General features: G+C 39.8%; 1 protein-coding gene across 3 annotated transcripts in view; it reads right to left on the reverse strand.

Annotated features, from left to right (window-relative positions):
• The window catches only part of SMIM36 (small integral membrane protein 36), an 82,292-nt gene that overhangs the window by 47,975 nt on the left and 10,265 nt on the right, over positions 1-24,052 (reverse strand). For 2 of the 3 annotated variants that reach the window (XM_047435095.1, XM_047435094.1), the window contains one exon: positions 13,006-13,531. In XM_047435095.1, coding sequence (XP_047291051.1) covers positions 13,223-13,531 — 309 coding nt within the window. In that variant the 3' untranslated portion in view covers positions 13,006-13,222. Of the gene's footprint in view, positions 1-13,005; positions 13,623-24,052 lie in introns of those variants that run through there. The other variant, NM_001395421.2, reaches the window with a different exon arrangement.

Raw genomic sequence — 24,052 nt, forward strand, 5'->3', positions numbered from 1 at the left:
GTCACATCCAATAGAATCATGTAACTGACCCTAAAGAGCTTTGACATGTTAAACAACTCATTGCACATCCTAAACATTCCTTTTAGATACTGAATTAGTTTGTTAGGGCTGTCCTAACAAAGTACTGCAAACCATGTGGCTTAAATAATGGAAATTGATTGCCTCACACTTTTGGAAAGTCTGAGGTCAAGGCATCAGCCAGGCCATGTTCCTTTTGAAGGTACCACGGAAGGATGTATTCCAAGCCTCTCTTCTACCTTTTGATAGTTCCTTGGCTTGTGATTGCATAACTCCATTCTTCATATGCATGTATATCTGTGTCCAAAATTCCCTTTTTATAACGACACAGTCCTATTGGATTAGGGGCCCACCATACTCCAGTGTGACCTCATCTTAACTAATTATACCGGTAATGACACTATTTCAAAATAAGATTACATCCTGAGGTACAGGGTAAGGACTTCAACATATGAATTCTGGGGGGACAAAATTCAACCCATAACAGACACTACGTTTTCTTTCCAAATTTCTACAGCACGTGACAGCTGTCTAACCTTTCATGCCCCTTCCCCTCAACACCCCCATAAATGTGTCTAAACTATCCTGAGCTGTCTCTAGCCAGCAGGTCATGAAGTCCTCTACTTATTTTCATCTTATTTGCTGGTAGTGGCCTCATTTTTTTTGAAATATCACAATATGCCAGATACTTTATGTGTGTGATTCTAAACCTTGACCATCTTAAGATTATATCCATTTTTTTTTTTTAGAGATGAGGTCTTGCTATGTGGCCTAGCCTCATCTCAGACTCCTGGGCTCAAGGTATATATCATTTTTTTAGTTGAGGAAAAAGGCTCAGGAAGTTAATTGATGCACAAAATGTTAAACAGGTCGGGCGTGGTGGCTCACACCTGTAATCCCAGCACTCTGGGAGGCCGAGGCGGGTGGATCACTTGAGGTCAGGAGTTCAAGATCAGCCTATCCAACATGACAAAACCCCGTCTCTACTAAAAACACAAAAAATTAGCCTGCATGGTGGCATGCACTTGTAATCCCAGTTAATGGGGAGACTGAGGCAGGATAACCACTTGAACCTGGGAGGCAGAGGTTGCAGTGAGCCGAGATCTGGCTGCTGCACTCTAGCCTGGGTGACAGAGTGAGACTCTGTCACCAAAAAAAAAAAAAAAAAAAAGCAAAAACAAACAAACAAAAAACACAAAATAGTAAACAGCAGATAGTGACAGAGGGGAAATTGAGTGAGGCTTTTCCAGTATAAAGTTCAGGCTTAGTCCAACTCTGTCCTGGTGTCTTTTGGAATATTAGGAGATGTTCCAGCCAAATTACAATAATTTATTTTTCCTCTGATAGGGCATCTTATTCAGAGGAGAAAATCTGAAAGTCCTTTGGATTAAACAGATGCTTACGGAGCAACTTCCTAGGCATGCAATTCTAGCAGAGGAGAGAGATGGGGTTGGTGGAACAACCATAGGTTTATTCCTGCTCTTTAATAGCTGTGAAAAAACAGATGGTAGGAGGTGACCCATCTAGAATTGAGTTCAAATCCTGCTTCTTACATGGATAAACTGCATGGCCTTGTGCACACTCGAGCTGTTCTATGAGCCTCTACTTCTTAATCTTTGAACTAGTTTTAGATGTGACTATCTCACAGGGGAGCATGAGGATTAAATGATATCATGAATAAAAAGTATCTGGCACGTAGCGAATTCCTGATAAATCTCCATTTATCTCCCTCCCTTTCCTTGCCTTGGAAGTGTTTGGTTTGGGTCCTTCCCAAAGCTATCATCCAAATTAAGCCAAAACACTACATTTGCTTTAATACAAATGTGCATGATAGAAGAGTAATGAATTAAAACATACTGGAAAAAGGGAGTCCTAATTCCATAAGGAAACAAAAATAAGGCAGTATTTGAATGTCACATAAACCTCTTGGTTCTAGCTGGCAAGCCATTCCACCAGGTCTTAATAGCAAAATATTAAAACATTAGGTGGAACCTTGCAGTTGTGCAACTTATAATTCCATTAAAAAATAAAGCTATATTTAAAAATAAGACACAATTAATGAAGGTTTAAAATAAAAGCAAGTAAACATCATGCTGTAGAAAGGTAAGTGGCAGGGGCAAATAGGAAAAAGGTGATAATAGGACCTCAGTTCCTGGGTTGTTGTTTTTTTTTCTTTTTTTGTTCTCCTCTTTTTTTTCTGTTAGCTCTGAGGCCAAATATTCTTGGGAAGAAATCGCAATTTCTTCTGGGCTTATTTCCTTGCTGGTAATTAAAAAAAATTTTTTTTTTAGAGACAGGGCCGTGCTCTGTTACCCAGGCTGGAGGGTAGAGAGTAATGTGATCATGGCTCACTGCAGCCTCAAATTCCTTGGCTCAAGCGATCTTTCTGCCTTACCCTGCTGAGTAGCTGGGACTACAGGTGCCAGCCACCATACTCAGCTAATTCTTTCACTTCTTATAGAGACGGGCTCTTGCTATGTTGCCCAGGCTGGTCTCAAACTCTTGGTCTCAAGTGATCCTCTTGCCTCAGCTTCCCATAGTGCTGAGATTACAGGCATGAGTCACTGCTCCTGGTCTGTAAAATTCTTAGTTCTAGTTCTTACAAGATTCTAAGGCTTCATTTTATATTGAAAAGATTGTTTTAAAGACTGAGAAGTTGGTTCCTTCTTGAAGAACAAATTGAATGAATCACAAATCAAATGAACCAGAGGCTTGGAATAACTCAATGCCGTCTATTCCAACACTCTCTTTAGAGTATTTTTAGTTTTTTCCGAGAGAGAAATATAAAATGTTCAATGCATCTAATATTGAAGTTAAGAAAATAAAATATTCTTCTCTCTTGGATTCCTATTAAAAATAAAATTTTCAAAATTTTTAAAAGAACATTCATTTAAAAGTATTTCACTTATGTTTTATATTTTATAATATATAATATATTATTATATATTTTATAATATATTATAATATATTATATTTTATAATATATATTATAATATATTATATTATAATATATTATAATATATTATATTTTATAATATATATTATAATATATTATATTATAATATATTATAATATATTATATTTTATAATATATATTATAATATATTATATTTTATAATATATATTATAATATATTATATATTATAATATGTAACATATTATTATATTTTGTAATATATAATATATTATTATATATTATAATATATAATATATTATTATATATTATAATATATAATATACTATTATATTTTATAATATATAATATATATCATATTTTATAATATATAATATATCTTATATTTTATAATATATAATATATCTTATATATTATAATATATAATATATCTTATATATTATAATATATAATATATATTATATATTATAATATATAATATAGTATTATATTTTATATTTTATAATATATTATATTATATATTATATTTTATAATATATATTATGTTATATATTATATTTTATAATATATAATATATTATATATTATATTTTATAATATATAATATATTATATATTATAGAATATAATATATTATATATTATTATATATTATAAAATATAATATATTATTATATATTATAAAATATAATATATTATTATATATTATATTTTATAATTATTATATATAATATAATATAATATATTATTATGTATTATATAATATTGTATATAATTATATACAATATTATATATATCATTATATACATAATAATTATATATTCACTGGTTATATATAAAATCAGTGTATATATATTAATCACTGAATATACATAATGAGAAATTTAATATATATTGAATATATAATATATATATTTTATGGGTGTTTATATATAGTCCCATGAAATACATACATTCGGGGAGGAGCCAAGATGGCCGAATAGGAACAGCTCCGGTCTACAGCTCCCAGCGTGACCGACGCAGAAGACCGGTGATTTCTGCATTTCCATCTGAGGTACCGGGTTCATCTCACTAGGGAGTGCCAGACGGTGGGCGCAGGCCAGTGGGTGCGCGCACAGTGCGCGAGCCGAAGCAAGGCATTGCCTCACCTGGGAAGCGCAAGGGGTCAGGGAGTTCCCTTTCCGAGTCAAAGAAAGGGGTGACGGACGCACCTGGAAAATCGGGTCACTCCCACCCGAATATTGCGCTTTTCAGACCGGCTTAAAAAACGGCGCACCACGAGACTATATCCCACACCTGGCTCTGAGGGTCCTACGCCCACGGAATCTCGCTGATTGCTAGCACAGCAGTCTGTGATCAAACTGCAAGGCGGCAGCGAGGCTGGGGGAGGGGCGCCCGCCATTGCCCAGGCTTGCTTAGGTAAACAAAGCAGCCAGGAAGCTCGAACTGGGTGGAGCCCAACACAGCTCAAGGAGGCCTGCCTGCCTCTGTAGGCTCCACCTCTGGGGGCAGGGCACAGACAAACAAAAAGACAGCAGTAACCTCTGCAGACTTAAATGTCCCTGTCTGACAGCTTTGAAGGGAGCAGTGGTTCTCCCAGCATGCAGCTGGAGATCTGAGAACCGGCAGACTGCCTCTTCAAGTGGGTCCCTGACCCCTGACCCCAGAGCAGCCTAACTGGGAGGCACCCCCCAGCAGGGGCACACTGACACCTCACACGGCAGGGTATTCCAACAGACCTGCAGCTGAGGGTCCTGTCTGTTAGAAGGAAAACTAACAAACAGAAAGGACATCCACACCAAAAACCCATCTGTACATCACCATCATCAAAGACCAAAAGTAGATAAAACCACAAAGATGGGGAAAAAACAGAACAGAAAAACTGGAAGCTCTAAAAATCAGAGCGCCTCTCCTCCTCCAAAGGAACGCAGCTCCTCACCAGCAACAGAACAAAGCTGGATGGAGAATGACTTTGACGAGCTGAGAGAAGAAGGCTTCAGACGATCAAATTACTCTGAGCTACGGGAGGACATTCAAACCAAAGGCAAAGAAGTTGAAAACTTTGAAAAAAATTTAGAAGAACGTATAACTAGAATAACCAATACAGAGAAGTGCTTAAAGGAGCTGATGGAGCTGAAAACCAAGGCTCGAGAACTACGTGAAGAATGCAGAAGCCTCAGGAGCCGATGCGATCAACTGGAAGAAAGGGTGTCAGCAATGGAAGACGAAATGAATGAAGTGAAGCGAGAAGGGAAGTTTAGAGAAAAAAGAATAAAAAGAAATGAGCAAAGCCTCCAAGAAATATGGGACTATGTGAAAAGACCAAATCTACGTCTGATTGGTGTACCTGAAAGTGATGGGGAGAATGGAACCAAGTTGGAAAACACTCTGCAGGATATTATCCAGGAGAACTTCCCCAATCTAGCAAGGCAGGCCAACGTTCAGATTCAGGAAATACAGAGAATGCCACAAAGATACTCCTCGAGAAGAGCAACTCCAAGACACATAATTGTCAGATTCACCAAAGTTGAAATGAAGGAAAAAATGTTAAGGGCAGCCAGAGAGAAAGGTCGGGTTACCCTCAAAGGGAAGCCCATCAGACTAACAGCGGATCTCTCGGCAGAAACCCTACAAGCCAGAAGAGAGTGGGGGCCAATATTCAACATTCTTAAAGAAAAGAATTTTCAACCCAGAATTTCATATCCAGCCAAGCTAAGCTTCATAAGTGAAGGAGAAATAAAATACTTTTCAGACAAGCAAATGCTGAGAGATTTTGTCACCACCAGACCTGCCCTAAAAGAGCTCCTGAAGGAAGCGCTAAACATGGAAAGGAACAACCAGTACCAGCCGCTGCAAAATCATGCCAAAATGTAAAGACCATCGAGACTAGGAAGAAACTGCATCAACTAACGAGCAAAATCACCAGCTAACATCATAATGACAGGATCAAATTCACACATAACAATATTAACTTTAAATGTAAATGGGCTAAATGCTCCAATTAAAAGACACAGACTGGCAAGTTGGATAAAGAGTCAAGACCCATCAGTGTGCTGTATTCAGGAAACCCATCTCACGTGCAGAGACACACATAGGCTCAAAATAAAAGGATGGAGGAACATCTACCAAGCAAATGGAAAACAAAAAAAGGCAGGGGTTGCAATCCTAGTCTCTGATAAAACAGACTTTAAACCAACAAAGATCAAAAGAGACAAAGAAGGCCATTACATAATGGTAAAGGGATCAATTCAACAAGAAGAGCTAACTATCCTAAATATATATGCACCCAATACAGGAGCACCCAGATTCATAAAGCAAGTCCTGAGTGACCTACAAAGAGACTTAGACTCCCACACAATAATTATGGGAGACTTTAACACCCCACTGTCAACATTAGACAGATCAACGAGACAGAAAGTCAACAAGGATACCCAGGAATTGAACTCAGCTCTGCACCAAGTGGACCTAATAGACATCTACAGAACTCTCCACCCTAAATCAACAGAATATACATTTTTTTCAGCACCACACCACACCTATTCCAAAATTGACCACATACTTCGAAGTAAAGCTCTCCTCAGCAAATGTAAAAGAACAGAAATTATAACAAACTATCTCTCAGACCACAGTGCAATCAAACTAGAACTCAGGATTAAGAATCTCACTCAAAGCCGCTCAACTACATGGAAACTGAACAACCTGCTCCTGAATGACTACTGGGTACATAACGAAATGAAGGCAGAAATAAAGATGTTCTTTGAAACCAACGAGAACAAAGACACAACATACCAGAATCTCTGGGATGCATTCAAAGCAGTGTGTAGAGGGAAATTTATAGCACTAAATGCCCACAAGAGAAAGCAGGAACGATCCAAAATTGACACCCTAACATCACAATTAGAAGAACTAGAAAAGCAAGAGCAAACACATTCAAAAGCTAGCAGAAGGCAAGAAATAACTAAAATCAGAGCAGAACTGAAGGAAATAGAGACACAAAAAACCCTTCAAAAAATCAGTGAATCCAGGAGCTGGTTTTTTGAAAGGATCAACAAAATTGATAGACCGCTAGCAAGACTAATAAAGAAAAAAAGAGAGAAGAATCAAATAGACACAATAAAAAATGACAAAGGGGATATCACCACCGATCCCACAGAAATACAAACTACCATCAGAGAATACTACAAACACCTCTACGCAAATAAACTAGAAAATCTAGAAGAAATGGATAAATTCCTCGACACATACACTCTCCCAAGACTAAACCAGGAAGAAGTTGAATCTCTTAATAGACCAATAACAGGAGCTGAAATTGTGGCAATAATCAATAGCTTACCAACCAAAAAGAGTCCAGGACCAGATGGATTCACAGCCGAATTCTACCAGAGGTACAAGGAGGAACTGGTACCATTCCTTCTGAAACTATTCCAGTCAATAGAAAAAGAGGGAATCCTCCCTAACTCATTTTATGAGGCCAGCATCATTCTGATACCAAAGCTGGGCAGAGACACAACAAAAAAAGAGAATTTTAGACCAATATCCTTGATGAACATCGATGCAAAAATCCTCAATAAAATACTGGCAAACCGAATCCAGCAGCACATCAAAAAGCTTATCCACCATGATCAAGTGGGCTTCATCCCTGGGATGCAAGGCTGGTTCAATATACGCAAATCAATAAATGTAATCCAGCATATAAACAGAACCAAAGACAAAAACCACATGATTATCTCAATAGATGCAGAAAAGGCCTTTGACAAAATACAACAACCTTCATGCTAAAAACTCTCAATCAATTAGGTATTGATGGGACGTATCTCAAAATAATAAGAGCTATCTATGACAAACCCACAGCCAATATCATACTGAATGGGCAAAAACTGGAAGCATTCCCTTTGAAAACTGGCACAAGACAGGGATGCCCTCTCTCACCGCTCCTATTCAACATAGTGTTGGAAGTTCTGGCCAGGGCAATTAGGCAGGAGAAGGAAATAAAGGGTATTCAATTAGGAAAAGAGCAAGTCAAATTGTTCCTGTTTGCAGATGACATGATTGTATATCTAGAAAACCCCATTGTCTCAGCCCCAAATCTCCTTAAGCTGATAAGCAACTTCAGCAAAGTCTCAGGATACAAAATAAATGTACAAAAATCACAAGCATTCTTACACACCAACAACAGAAAAACAGAGAGCCAAATCATGAGTGAACTCCCATTCACAATTGCTTCAAAGAGAATAAAATACCTAGGAATCCAACTTACAAGGGATGTGAAGGACCTCTTCAAGGAGAACTACAAACCACTGCTCAAGGAAATAAAAGAGGATACAAACAAATGGAAGAACATTCCATGCTCATGGGTAGGAAGAATCAATATTGTGAAAATGGCCATACTGCCCAAGGTAATTTACAGATTCAATGCCATCCCCATCAAGCTACCAATGACTTTCTTCACAGAATTGGAAAAAACTACTTTAAAGTTCATATGGAACCAAAAAAGAGCCCGCATCGCCAAGTCAATCCTAAGCCAAAAGAACAAAGCTGGAGGCATCACACTACCTGACTTCAAACTTTACTACAAGGCTACAGTAACCAAAACAGCATGGTACTGGTACCAAAACAGAGATATAGATCAATGGAACAGAACAGAGCCCTCAGAAATAACGCCGCATACCTACAACTATCTGATCTTTGACAAACCTGAGAAAAACAAGCAATGGGGAAAGGATTCCCTATTTAATAAATGGTGCTGGGAAAACTGACTAGCCATATGTAGAAAGCTGAAACTGGATCCCTTCCTTACACCTTATACAAAAATCAATTCAAGATGGATTAAAGATTTAAACGTTAGACCTAAAACCATAAAAACCCTAGAAGAAAACCTAGGCATTACCATTCAGGACATAGGCATGGGCAAGGACTTCATGTCCAAAACACCAAAAGCAATGGCAACAAAAGACAAAATTGACAAATGGGATCTAATTAAACTAAAGAGCTTCTGCACAGCAAAAGAAACTACCATCAGAGTGAACAGGCAACCTACAAAATGGGAGAAAATTTTCGCAACCTACTCATCTGACAAAGGGCTAATATCCAGAATCTACAATGAACTCAAACAAATTTACAAGAAAAAAACAAACAACCCCATCAAAAAGTGGGCGAAGGACATGAACAGACACTTCTCAAAAGAAGACATTTATGCAGCCAAAAAACACATGAAAAAATGCTCATCATCACTGGCCATCAGAGAAATGCAAATCAAAACCACAATGAGATACCATCTCACACCAGTTAGAATGGCAATCATTAAAAAGTCAGGAAACAACAGGTGCTGGAGAGGATGTGGAGAAATAGGAACACTTTTACATTGTTGGTGGGACTGTAAACTAGCTCAACCATTGTGGAAGTCAGTGTGGCGATTCCTCAGGGATCTAGAACTAGAAATACCATTTGACCCAGCCATCCCATTACTGGGTATATACCCAAATGACTATAAATCATGCTGCTATAAAGACACATGCACACGTATGTTTATTGCGGCATTATTCACAATAGCAAAGACTTGGAACCAACCCAAATGTCCAACAACGATAGACTGGAGTAAGAAAATGTGGCACATATACACCATGGAATACTATGCAGCCATAAAAAATGATGAGTTCATGTCCTTTGTAGGGACATGGATGAAATTGGAAATCATCATTCTCAGTAAACTATCGCAAGAACAAAAAACCAAACACCGCATATTCTCACTCATAGGTGGGAATTGAACAATGAGATCACATGGACACAGGAAGGGGAATATCACACTCTGGGGACTGTGGTGGGGTGGGGGGAGGGGGGAGGGATAGCATTGGGAGATATACCTAATGCTAGATGACGAGTTAGTGGGTGCAGTGCACCAGCATGGCACATGTATACATATGTAACTAACCTGCACAATGTGCACATGTACCCTAAAACTTAAAGTATAATAAAAAAAAAAAAAGAAAAAAAAAGAATGGTAAAAAGACCACTGGCTTTGCGCATGCGCACTTTACCTCTTCCGAACTGCAATTCTCCCATTAGTTCAGTCCATCAGCCTGCGGACTTAAGCCAGGCGTCGTGCTGACATTTAAAGATGATTCCTCTTTCGTCATAAGAAGAAACACAGAACATCATTTGATAAACATAAAAATTAAAGAGCTCTGCTGGCAGTCCCTTTACAAGGCACTGGAGAAACCCTGGGTTGGGCATGACTGGTGCTTTTACCAACACAAGCCTAAGGGACCCCTCTGGCTGCTGGATTAGCCCTAAATGCAACCATTTGGTTTACTGGTGTAAATATGAGCTATTAGTGTCTGGTGGTGCATTAGAGTGGCCCCAACCTACTGCTTTGCCTTGTAACAAACACACAATGAAAAGAGCAGAGTTGAGTGTTGTATTTACACTGCCTGTCTAAATCTGGTTTCATAGCCCAACATCCCCCTCACCCCTTCCACAAGGATACTCATTAATGCTGCCACAACCAAGTTAGTGCCTTGTTTTCTACCTCTAAGAGTGCAAAACGCAATAAAAAGGTGTCAGTATTTGTCCTGAAAACAAACAAACAAAAAAAGAAATACATACATTCAATATATATATTCTCTCTATATATTCCCGTAAAATATATACATATTTTATATATATATTCCTAGGAATATATATATATATATATATATATATATATATATATATGAACCTGCCCTTTTCTTAATGTGAGCTTCATCTGAACTAACCTTCTTATTTCTTTCCCTTTCATGGGAATATAAGTATATAATATATAAAGGGTAGGTTCTTAGAAACTGCCTGTGAATTTATGGTGTTTCTTCATTCAGTTTATATTTTCATTATAAAAGTGAAGATGGTGGCTGAGCGCGGTGGCTCACGCCTGTAAACCCAGCACTTTGGGAGGCCGAGGTGGGCGGATCACCTGAGGTCGGGAGTTCGAGACCAGCCTGGCTAACATGGTGAAACCCCGTGTCTACTAAAAATACAAAAATTAGCTGCGTGTGGTGGCAGATGCCTGTAAGCCCAGCTATTTGGGAGGCTGAGGCAGGAGCATTGCTTGAACCCGGGAGGCGGAGGTTGCAGTGAGCCGAGATCGTGCCATTGCACTTCAGCCTGGGTGATAAGGGCAAGGCTCTGTCTCAGAACAAAAAAAAAAAAAAAAAAAAAAGTGAAGATGGCTTCTTGCTCATAAAGAAAACAAATTTCCTCTGAAGGGTTTTCAATATAGTTTTTAAATCACATACTTAAGAGAAAATATAATCTTCTGATAAAATAAGAAACAAATTAAATTAAAAATAAACATCAAAACCTGAAAACAAAGTAACTGGGATTATCTTCACGTTTGTTACAGCTACTTAACAATCCAAAGGCAAAACAGTGCTCATTGTCAAAGCTGGCAGGGCAGGCTGGCCAGGCCCTCCTCTTCAGTTTTCTACAGGAGAAACCAAAATTGAATTTCTCACGTTTTCTTCACATGTTGGACACCATCAGACCTTCACAACCAATGGACTCTAATTATTTTGCTTTCAAGCTTTGTTTTTGTTATTTCTTCTTCTAAAAGGCCATCTCCTGTCCTACCCTTCAAGATTCCAACATACTTTGGTTCTTCTGGAAAAATAACTACTTATCTTTTAAGACAAATCATCTTATCTTTGGTACCTGAGTCTAAGATGAAATTGGCCATTCAACATTATTCGAATATTTCTTGAGTGTCTTCTGTGTGCCAGACACTCGTGTCTCTGTTGACTCCTGCATCCTATGCAGACTTCTAAAAGAGCATCTGCAAAGCTTTCTTATCTTTCATTGTCTAAGTCATGCCTGACCCTGCTTCCTTCTGTTGGGCGGCAAAGATCATATGGCAGGGTCATGACACTCATTTCTCTTTATTTCCACACAGGTCCTGATGGAAAGAAGAGGTTCAGTAAATCTCAAAGTAAATACATACGTTTCTCTGAGCTCAGGGAAGGGAGGGTTAATAAAAATACACACAATGGAGATAATAATTCAAAAATTTTGGAAATAGACTAATGAACAGGGGAAAAAACATACCATTCAACATCAACAAAGAGAGTGAAGGGAGAGCAGGCAGTGTTCTGGGGACAGATACACCAAGCTGTGGGGTCTCAGAATTCTTTCAATGAGTTTTCAATAACTTTGTATTGGATCAGGCCGGATTTGAGGATTGGAGATTAAATTTTTTATGAGGCATATGGAAGGAAATATTATCAGTGATCATCATCATAGCTAACCCTGTGTGTCAAGAACTGTCTCAAGTGCTTTTGGTGAATTAACTCATTTAAATAGCCCCAAAAGCTTAGTGGTCCAATCACTATCCCTGAGACACAGAGGTGGCTCAACTTAACCATGGCCACACAGCTAGCAAGTAGAAGAGGCAGGATTTGAACCCAGGCTCCAAGCTTTGTTGTTTTAGTTGTATGCATTCCTTATTCTGTCTTGGAGTTGGGAATAGAACGTGAAGAGCTGGTAGGTACAGAAATAATAATGTTCTGAAGTCTGAACAAGTTCAATGGGGTTGCCTTGACTGGGTGCAGCAGCTCACATCTATAATCCCAGCATTTTGTGAGACTGAGGCAGGAGGATTGCTTGAGGCCAGGAGTTCAATACCAGCCTGGGCAACATAGTGAAACCCCATCTCTACAAAAAAAAGACAGGCGTGGTGTCATGACCTTAGAGTCCTAGCTACATGGGAGGCTGAAGTGGGAAGGTTGCTTGAGCCCAGTTCAAGGCTGCAGTGAGCTATGATCACGCTGCTGCACTTAAGCATGGGCAACAGAGCAAGACTCTGTCTCTTAAAGAAAAGAAAAATAACAACAAAAAACTGGTTGCCTTGGAAAGAAAGAATTTGCAAAGAATAGACTAGACTGGAGTTAGTCTCATTCCTTATCACACACACGCACGTGCACGTGCACACACACACACACACAATATTGCATCCTTTCTCAAAAGTCATTCTCTCCTGTGAGTTGCAAGGACAGCAACATCAGAAATGTACCAGTAACCAACTTCATTATACTACAGCATTGCTGACAGTTTGCATTTGGAGAATTTGACTAAAGACCACTTTGGGCTTCTTACCTTAAACAGTTACTTTTGTCACAAAGAAGGTGACGAGAAAACAGCAAGTAAGACAGAGCTCTCACTTCCTTCATCAAGCGGGATACATGTGCTGAGAGAATTGGAGCCACGATAGGGAGCAGTTTGTCTCTATGGAAAGTCTAGTGGTCTCTCCCCAGTGTCCCTTAGCCAGCCTCATACCATGGTGCTTTTCTTTCCTAGTGGAGCAGGATCCCCCAAAGAAAGGCCAGGCCCCTTTGGCCAGTGGGGCCCAGCGACACTTGGGTGCATCACCACCAACCGGATGGAGGGCTGGGCCTCGAGAGTGGCCTCGGGCGCGTACTCCTTACTGGGATCCTTGCCTCGGCAGTCGTATAGCACGCAGGAGATGAGGAAGACCAGGAGCAAGATGACGTAGCTCGCAACTAGGATGATCAGGTTCAAGGTAACAGGGTCGATCTCCAAGTAGAATTCCATCACTTCTCCCACGGTGGAGAAGTGGGTCTAGAGAAAGGCAATTGGGGTCAGTTTGGGCATTGCAGAGAGCAGATCTTAGAGCATCGGAATAGCTACATTGGCTCTGGAGTAAAAATACATTAATCCCTACTGCTCCAGGAGACCTCGAGGATTAAAGCTGCTCGGTTTAATAACTTAAGCTTGCTGTTAATACCACAGCCACCAAAACACAGAAGCTGTCTGTCATCAGTTCGCCTACACAGAGAGAGAAAGAGAGAGAGAGAGATGGCTCATGAGTTACTGGATCATGGTATATAAGTAGAGCATTCACATAATTCAGCATCCACACAGGCAGTTTGGTGAGCAAAAGTAAGTGTTGTTAATAAGCACTCCATGATGACAGCTAAAAATTGGATTGTCCTGGACAATTGTGCTGTCTTTGTATAAGGGATGTTTAGTGCCATGTATGGAGTGATTTGGAAGATTAGGTCAGTAGGCTTTGGAAGTAAATGTGATTCTTCAACAAGAAGAAGATACTAGTGCCTGATATTTTCACCCTTTCTTCATTTGTTGCCATGTTTCTCATTAGTTAATTCAAAACTACTTTTTGAGTACTTACTTCCTGTGTTTCAGACACTACACTAAGCAAAGGGGATATGGCAGTGATAAGACAGAGAAGCAGGTAGTCTAGCAGGAAAGATAGCCTTTAAACAGATAATTGCACAATTCGCCATTTAAGAACAGTGGAAATCAGTTTATAAGGGACAAATAGAGGGTAAGAGGACAGCGTGTCCCAGTGTGGGTCAAAAAAGCTTCCATGCAGAAGCAACATTTAACCTATGACCTGAAGGATAAGTAGAATTTAGCTAAGTGAGAAGAGACAGGGAAGATTCTTCTAGCCACAAAGAACTGCATATGTGAAGACCCGAAGAGAAAGGAGCCTGGAAAATTGCAAGCACTGAAACAAGGGCAGTGTGACTGGAGCATAAAGAGAATGGGAGCACAAGGTGGGAGAGGTAGACAGGGGCCAGAAGGCACAGGCACTTGTGGGCCATACTCAGGACTTTAGATATGATCCTAGAGCAATGGGATGCCATTGAATGCTTTTGCACAGGGGAGTGACACTACTGAATTTGCATTTTAAAGAGATTCCCAAAGGCTGCCTCAAGGATGCAGAAAAACAAGCAAATTGAGAGGAAGATCAGATACTGATCGGATTACAGTTATTCCTTGATGTACAAATCACTGTCCTGCCTCAGTTGTAGCCTGGTCCCAATAGTCCCGCATAGGCTACTTCATGGGCATGTGCCCTGTGCAGCTGCACAACGTTCCATTCTCAGAAAGAGCTCACACTTGGTTTAATGCTCTGCTGTTGCCATCTTGAAATTCTTAACTTTTCAACTTTGCACTGGGACCCACAAATTACGTATCTGGTCTTGGTCTCATATATGTATTTTTGGCCAGCTAGGGCATCAGTAGCCTTTTCTCCAATAGCTAATAGGACTTTTTGGATACTCCTAGTTAAAAGCTGAAGTTCCCAAAGGTCTGCTGGTTTCTTAGTGTTAAGCTTCAATGGGCTAGTGTCTTCCTGTCAGCCTCCTTTATACTGAGCTTCCATGGGAACCTGAGCATTTGAAGATGTTGTAGTATGGGGTTCTTATGCATCTGGAGACGTTTTTCCAAATAATATCGTCCATGATTCTATGGTCCTGGACTAACTTATGGAATTATAATCCAGAAGATGCATGATTCTGAAACACCATAGATTTAGGGTCAGCCTTATTGGAATCTATTGGGTCTCTTTTGAATACAGATACCTGGATCAACCCTAGATCTACTGAGTTAGAATCTTTGGGACTAGAGTCTGGGGATCTGTATTAATAAAAATCTTCATGGATAATTTTGATCTGCAACCAGGATGGAGAATCATGGCTATAAAAGTAGAAAAAAAGGACGTGAAGAAAATGGGCCAATATGCGGTCACCAGGGCTTTGGTGATCTGTGAAGAGCTATTCCAGGGGGCATTCAACACAGAATTCAACACTGTCCAAGGTTTTAAGTCCGACAGATTCAGAGAATTAATTTTGTGCTTGCAAGGACATAGCTTTTTCTTCCTGAAGGCAGATCTACAGGAAAAGTCCATTTATAATTGGAAAGTTTCTGGTAAGCACAGAATCACACAGCAAGTAGAGTTGTCTGTTGCATCTGTAAGTCACGTGCAATGCACCAGACAGAAGCGAGGCTTTAAAAGGCAGCATTATGTACCAGATGCCTACTTTCTTTTGCCCACTCGGGACTCTAGATTCGTGACTTCTATAGTAAACTGAGTCTGGATAGCCCAGGTGCCTCCATGTAACAATATTTAGGGGAGTTATTTGGTGACTTTAAATAGATGACACAAGGATTGGTTAAAATTGACTCTGAAATGAGAACTACATATAGTTTAGTCCACATTAAATTAAACTGAAATATATGCAACAGATCTGCTCTATTGAGTGGAGTTTTCATATCAGATCTAGGTTTCTCTGTGTAATGGTGATAATCATTAATCATGGTGAGTGATCTGGTCTGGCCTGTCTTCTTAGATTGCCCCCATTCTGCTGATACCCGTGGTGTCCCGGAATGTTTTGTTCAAGGCTATTGTCTTTGGTTCCAGTATCTTATTTCTATTAGCAGAGAGTTTTTTGTTTCTGTTTCCACCAGTGCTCAAAGTTCATTTGAAGTCCAGTCTCATGAAGGCTTCACTTCCTTGCAATGTCTTCGGTGAAATGCTGGGTGCTTGTTTTACTTAATTAACCTGGGTGGCTCCTTTATTCATACTGGGGCTAACCTCACCCATCTTTCCTTCTTTTGCTGTCTTTAAGGAACTTTCCTCTGGTGCCATCTAGTGGCCAAAGCAGGGGCTGCTAAATAAAGAAAAAAACTTGGCAATAGGCAAACTGGGACGGATGACAGGGTGACATAGGTAAAAACAATAACAAGCTGCATTTCAGAAGAACCCCTTGAGGTAGCCTTGACATACTAATTCCTTCGTTTATTACAAATATGAATTGTGCACTTACCATATGCTAGCAAGGTACTAAGCACTTTAGAGCTTGATAATGTGATACTGAAAGCACACTGTATAACAAATGTAGAGCTCAGAGGAAAAAAGGAATTATCAACCCAATTTTTTAAAATGAGAAAATTGAAGCTTAAAGAGGCAGTGGAATTGAATGAGCTTATTCTCATTCCCTTTTTCCCTCTCACCCTCTCATCTCTCTTTTCTACTGCATAAAATATGAATAAAACAGGTACATGCATAACTTATTCTATGGAGCATTCAAGACCCATTGGGCAGGTATTCTATGGGTCTTCAGTTGTTTACATATTTACTTGCAGTGTAGTTCATTTTGATGGCTGGCCTGGAATATTACTTAATAATACCAGATAAATATGTGTCCCATATAAATACATTTTTAGGTAAGTAGAGTTTATTACTTAAAACAAACATATTTTTGTATATCAACTATTCTGGATGAAAATTTATCTCTGGTATTTCAGAGTGCCTTGCTTCCTTGATAAAATATGGTATCCCAAAAGTCTTAGTGCCTTAGAGAAGTGTCAACTTCAGAGGTAAAAATGTTATAAACTTATTTAAAAAAGCATTGGGAGTTTGATTATTTCACAGTTGAGGACATTCAGGCACAGGGACGTGACTTTCTCGAGTCCAAACAGATAGTAAATGACAGAAGCAAGACATTAAAGCAATGTTTTTGAATTCTAGTCTAGTGTTTTTTTTTTTTTTTTTTTTTTTTTTTTGCGCTGGAACTATTGACTAGATAGAATGGAAAGTGAAAGAGGGAAAGATGCTGTAGATGCTAGAAAAGTGAGAAAGGCAATAATGAACAAAACCAAATGCTAGCCATCTAGATTTTCAAAAGTCCACTTGTCCCTCAAATTTATGCTAAGAGGACATAACCTAACTTTCAACCTACCACCCTTCTCAGCCTCCTACTTGTAATCAAGCAGGTGGCTCACTTGGGAGCCTCACCTGGCAGCCTCTGGAGAAATACTGCCATATTTTGTCGCAACTTAAAAGTCTTTCTTTCCATCTATACTGGGTTGAATAATGTCTCCCCTCAAACTCATCCACCTGGAATCTCAGAATGTGGCCTTATTTGGAAATAGGGTCTTGGCAGATATAATTAGTTAAGGGTGAGATTTCACTGGAGAAGTAATGTGCCCTTAATCCAATGACTGGTGTCCTTATAAGCAGGCTGTGTGAGGGCACAGAGACACACAGGGAGGAGATGCTATGGAAAGATAGAGAGAGATCGGAGCGAGACATCTTGCAAGCCATGGAATGCCAAGGACTGCAGGCCACCACCAGAAACTGGAAGACAGGCCTGGGACAGACCCTCCCTCAGAGCCTCCAGAAGTAAACAACCCTGCTGACATCTTGATTCCAGACTTTCAGTCTCCACAACTGTGAGAGAATAAATTCCATTATTTTAAGTCATTCATTTTGTGGCATTTTGGTATAGCAGTCCTAGGAAACTAACATACTACCTATCTAATGTGTGAATAAAACCAGATGTGGCTTGCAGCAAACCAGGAGGTATACCAAGCTCTTTTAGATCCTCTTCTATTTTATTTTGGTGCTTGCCCCTTATAGACTTGAGCTTGGTTCCTGGCTCTTTCTTCTCAGGTATGGCTCCATGAAGAAAACGCATGGGATGAAAGAAAATTACTGTATGTAAAATTTACTTCTATAAAAAACAAAGACCTTCAGTTTAAAATAGCACTTGGCTGGAAGCCCCTGATGTAGCCTTTTATATCTTCCCAGTAAAATTCCTCAGAAGACACAGAAAAAAATATAAAAACCTACAAAACAATGAAAAACAATGTAGCTAGGGATAATATTTTTAAGATGCTATGGTGTTGGTTCTCCCTCTCCTTCCCAAGACTTATTTGAACCAATTTCTCTTCTCCTTCATCATCCAAGATTTCTAAGGGTATTGACTCTCAGGAGAGACACAGCCTGGAAGAGTCAAATTCATCATTCTTGAGCTCCTTTGTAAAATTCTGTACGCTTATACCAAAGTCCATAGACTTTGAGCCAGGCATTGTGGGGGAAAGCAAAGGCCATTTTTAGAACTACAAAATATTGGCTTTGTGTATCAAGAGACCAAAAGCATAAAGTTTATATAACAGGCCAAAATGTAGGAAAGAGAAAGTGAGGAATGTGAACAGTCTTCCTTTTTTTTTTTTTTTTTTTTTTTTGAGACAGTCTCACTCTGTCACCCAGGCTGGAGTGCAATGGCACAGTCTTGGCTCACTGCAAACTCCGCCTCCCGGTTTCAAGCAATTCTCCTGCCTCAGCCCCCTAAGTAGCTGGGATTACAGGCACCTGCCACCACGCCCGGCTAATTTTTTGTAGTTTTAGCAGAGATGGGGTTTCACCATATTGGCCAGGCTGGTCTCAAACTCCTGACCTCAGGTGATCCACCTGCCTCGGCCTCCTAAAGTGCTGGGATTACAGGCATGAGCCACTGCAACTGGCCAGCCTTCCTATTCTTGAGGAAGATTTGAAAAAGGAATTCTAAGGGGAGGTGACAAGAGATTAGATGTTAGTGTGTCCCTGAGAAGACGCTTCTCCCCAACACTCCCTATACCATCTTTTAGAAGAAAGACTATATAATCACCTAGATGGGCACTCCAAGGCAGAAAGGGTTCAGCTTTGATTACATAGTATATTCTTGGAAGACTGCCAGGTTCCTGGAGAAGTCTCATGCCCTATATAACACTGAATGGCAATATGCTGGAATAGTAGAGAACAATGTCCAAGAAAGGTAGCTAACTGGAGAAACCAGGGCTACCTTACTATTGAAGGTATACTAAGATGGTGCAAAGAAAATAATGGAGAGTTTCTAAGACTCTGAAATAGGATTGAGATACAAAAGGTAAGAGATGGGCCTGGCATGTTCGCTCACACCTGTAATACCAGCACTTTGGGAGGCCAAGGAGGGTGGATCATCTGAGGTCAGGAGTTCAAGACCAGCCTGGCCAACATGGTGAAACCCCATCTCTACTGAAAATACAAAAATTAGCCAGGCATGGTGCTGCACACCTGTAGTCCCAGCTGAGGGAGTCCCAGCTTGGGAGGCTGAGGCAGGAGAATCGCTGGAACCTGGGAGGTGAAGGCTGCAGTGAGCTGAGATCGTGCCACTGCACTTTAGCCTGGGCGACAGAGTGAGACTCTGTTACAACAACAACAACAACAAGTTGAGAGATGCCTGATTGAAAAGACTTCATGGTTCTTATTACCAAGGTCACAGAGTGAACAACTCGGGTATATGGAGGTATCATTTAGTGATGTGGATGACTGAAGGAAAGTAAATTTGGGAGGTGAATCAAGAGTTATCCTTAGGATTAAATTGGAGATGGTGAGAAGACAGCTGGATATTTGAGTTCAGATCTTAGTGGAAAAGTCAGTGTTGCAAATATAGATTTTAGACTTATCAATATATAGGTAATATTTACAGTCATAGAACTGAATGAGATGACATTAAAAGAAGGTGTACATTAGGAAGAGAAGAGGAATAAGGACAGAGCCTAGAGTATCCCAACATCTAAATGTTAAACAGAGAGGAAGAAATCAACAAATAATAAAGAGGAGTGAACAGAGAGATAAGAGGAAAATCAGAAGCACTTAGTGTCATGAAAATCCAGGGAGAAGTATGTATCTTAGTCCATTTTGTGCTGCTATAACAGAATACTTGAGACTGGATAACTTGGCTTACAGTTCTGGAAAATGGGAGATCTAAGATTGAAGGGCCACCATCTGGCGAGGGCCTCGTTGCTGTGTCATCCCATGGTAGAAGGTAAAAGGACAAGAGAGAGCATGAGAGCAGAGCAGGACAGGGTGAAGAGGGCTGAATTTGTCATTTCATCAAGAATCTACTCTCTTGATAACTAACCCACTCCCACAATAAAAGGATTAATCCATTCATAAAGACAGAACCCTCATGGCCAAATTGCCTCTTAAAGTTTCCACTTCTCAGCACTGTTGAATTGGGGATTAAGTTACCGATACACGAACTTTGGGGAACACTATTCAAACTATAGCACTGGGTTCAACAAAGGCAGTGACCAACTAGGTTTAAAGCTGCTGAGTGATCGATCAAGTAAAATGAGAATAGACAGTTGACTGTTAGTTTTGAGATTTTGCTAAAATTAGAAGGGGTTTTCATAGGGTGGGATGAGAAAGAAAACCCCTAAAAATAGGTGGAGAAAAGAAGGTAAAAAAGTGGACCGTGAGTAAAAATAATTTTGAGGAGTTTGGTTGTGAAATATTGAAGAGAAATGGGAAATAGCTAGAAAGCAGGGTGTCAGTGAAACAAAGTTGTTTCGTTTTTGTTTTAGATGAGTGATATGAAAGCATCATGCGAGCCCATGGGTTGTGAGTTGTGAAAGGGCAAGTGATAATATGAGAGAGAAAAGGAAAAGTTGTATGAGAGAGAAAAGGATAATATGAGAGAGAAAAGGAAAAGTTCCTTGAACAGCGATGAAATCCAGAGGAAACGTGGAACTAGAGGTAGGGACAATGCTTCCATTTATCAAAAGAGAAGAAAAATAAGTAGGTTTAGAACAGCTTTGGTGGTGAGAATATGAGGTTTGTTTCATCTGATATTTGGGTTTTTTTTTTTTTTCTCTCACCGAGGAATGAGTTAAGATCATTAGCAGAATTTGAGTGGAGGAAATGTACTGTATATTTTAAAAGAGGTGAATTTTTGAAATAGTTATTTTGACAAAAAGGAAGACAAATATCCTAGAGAAGTAGGGTAGGAGTGCTGGGCAGTGTTGAATTCCCCTTTGACATGGGTTGTCATGAATTTAAATTGAGATAGTAGTTCAAAGTAGGCAGATAGTTTGGTTAAGCAGATTGGAGGTTAGTCAGTGAGCAGAATAGAAGGTTGGCGCAAGAGGGTGTTAGGAAGGAAATAGTTCTGTTACTACACCAAAACCTGTACACTGGGTAAGGAGGGATATGAGGGCATGTGGTGTGTGGGTGGAATGTGGCGGGAAATTGTGATAAATGGTGGAGTGAGTGCAATGGTGGTCCCTGTGTGGTCAAAGAGAGTTGGAGCAGAGAAGAGGAGTTGGCACACTGGGAGGACTGGCAGTGGTGCTTCAAGAGGGGTATGACCGGAATTGAGATTCTGAAATTATTTGCAATGACAAGATGTAGGGAAGACCATTAGAGTGTATAGCAGAAGGGCATATCTTTGGAGTTGAGATAATAAAAAATCTGCAGGGGCAGAGCATTGCTGAAATTGTCTAGAAGGACAAAAGTGTAAGAGGGAAGAGAATGAGGTGAGCTAAGTGCTCAAGTCCTTGGTAAGACAATGGTGGTCAGGAGGTTGCTAGACAATTGTGAAAAGAAGAGGCATTTGGCGAGTAAGTCTGACAACATGTCCTTCACTGATGTATGGACACCACGCCAGCTCAGGATTTTGATGGAGAAAGGTGAAGAAATGTTTAGAAGCAGCTGTTTAGGGTTGTAAATCACCTACTTAAATTGTAGGTCCTGAAGTATGTGGGTATATAAATTTTTTGTGGTTGCTCTAACAAATTTCGTGGCTTAAAAAATTGGCTATTTATTCTTTCATGATTCTAGAGGCCAGGAGTCTGAAATCAGTACTACTGGGCCAAAAACAAGGTGTTGGTGAGGCTGTACTCCCCTCAGGGGATCAAGAGGGAGAAGTTCTGGTCCTTGCTGTTTTCATCTTCTCATGGCTACTGGTATTGTGGTCGTATCACTCCAATCGTCAAAGCCAGCATCTTCAAATCTCTCTCTGTTCTGTCTTCACATTGCCTTCTCCTCTGTGTGTGTAAAATCTCCTTTTGTTTCCCTCTTATAAGGATACATGTGATGGCATTTTGAGCCCACCCAGAAAATCTAGTAGAATCTCTTCATCTCAAGTATGTAGTAGGCACAAATTTCTCTTTTATCCTTCACAATTTCATGGATAGAAAATTCATTCTAACCACCAATCTTAGCAACCTCTAGCATAAATTTGTTTTCTTATTAAATAGAGAACTTTCACACTTTCATTTAAAGGAAGCAATTTATGGCTTCTGTTTGGCATATCCGAATTGCTGGCATCACTACTCTTGCACTTTGGGGCTAAGTAAAATAAGGGCTACTTGAACACAAGCACAGTGATAAAGCAACAGTTAGTCTGAAAACTGAGATGGTCACTGAGTGACTAATGGGCAGGTAGCATGTACAGTGCGGATACAATGGACAAAGGGATAATTCAGGTCCCAGGTAGGGCGGAGTGGGACGGCATGAGATTGCATCAGGATGCTCAGAACAGCACACAATTGAAAACTTACGAATAGTTTATTTCTGGAATTTTTCACTTAATATTTTCAGATTGTGTTTGGCAGAGGTTCACTGAAGCTGTGGAAAGTGAAACTGTGGATAAGAGGGAAGCCACTGCAATAGTAGTAATAATAACTTTTACTTAACAAAAATTATCTTGACCGGCAGGTGCTGTGGCTCACACCTGTAATCCCAGCATTTTGGGAGGCCAAGGCGGGTGGATAACCTGAGGCCCGAGACCAACCTGGAGAATATGGTGAAACCCTGTCTGTACTAAAAATACAAAAATTAGCCAGGCGTGGTGGTGCACCCTTGTGGTCTCAGCCACTGGGAGGCTGAGGCAGGAGAATCTCTTGAATCCAGGAGGTGGAGGCTGCAGTGAGCTGAGATTGTGCCACTGCACTCCAGCTTGACTGGAGTCTTGTGGCAGAGCAAGATTGCATCTCAAAAAAAAAAATCTTGACCTAACATCTCAGAATGTATGAAAGAAAAGCAAGGAAGGAAAAGATGAGTAGAGCTAGGCTAACTTCTTTGTCTTAAATAAGGAAAACAAAAATGACACCAATTCCTCTTAACTTCAGCAATTAGAGAGAAGAGTTTTGTAGCTTGCTTTTGAAAGTATTGACAAGAACCCTTACAAAAAATAATTGCATCATGCTAGCTACCCTGTTTTAGGGATAACAAATGTGATCACTTCCCTGGTCTGCTTTCCTTTCTGCTGCTCTTGTTCCCTTTTCTGGTTAGAAATGTTTCACACCCATGATGACATTCTGTATTTCCTTATCTGAATATCATACCATCTGGAGGCATTCTGCATTCCTTTTGGCTTTGGACTTTTTATAACCTGTGATTAGGGTATAGATGAATAAAGATGTCTACTTTATCTTTCTCTAGTTTCCTATGTAGGATTTATATAATGTTAGTGTTCATTTATTTGATGTGTAGATTGGACTTGGGAGGACATGCGTGGATTTTAGATGTATCCTTGCCTCCAAGATGTAGAGAATGCTCAGATGCAACTAAAACTTTGACAGTGTTAATTGTCAGGATGCTGAAAGCAATCCGGAGAGGGAGGTGCAAGCACCATATGGAATAGCAGAAAATCCTGGGGGCTCTACATTTAAAATATATTGGGAATGCAAACTTCTCTTACCATCTTCACCGCTTTGACTTTTTTTTTTTTTTTGCCAACCCAC

Source organism: Homo sapiens, chromosome 17, assembly GCF_000001405.40.
Source record: "Homo sapiens chromosome 17, GRCh38.p14 Primary Assembly".
Taxonomy (NCBI): Eukaryota; Metazoa; Chordata; class Mammalia; order Primates; family Hominidae; genus Homo; species Homo sapiens.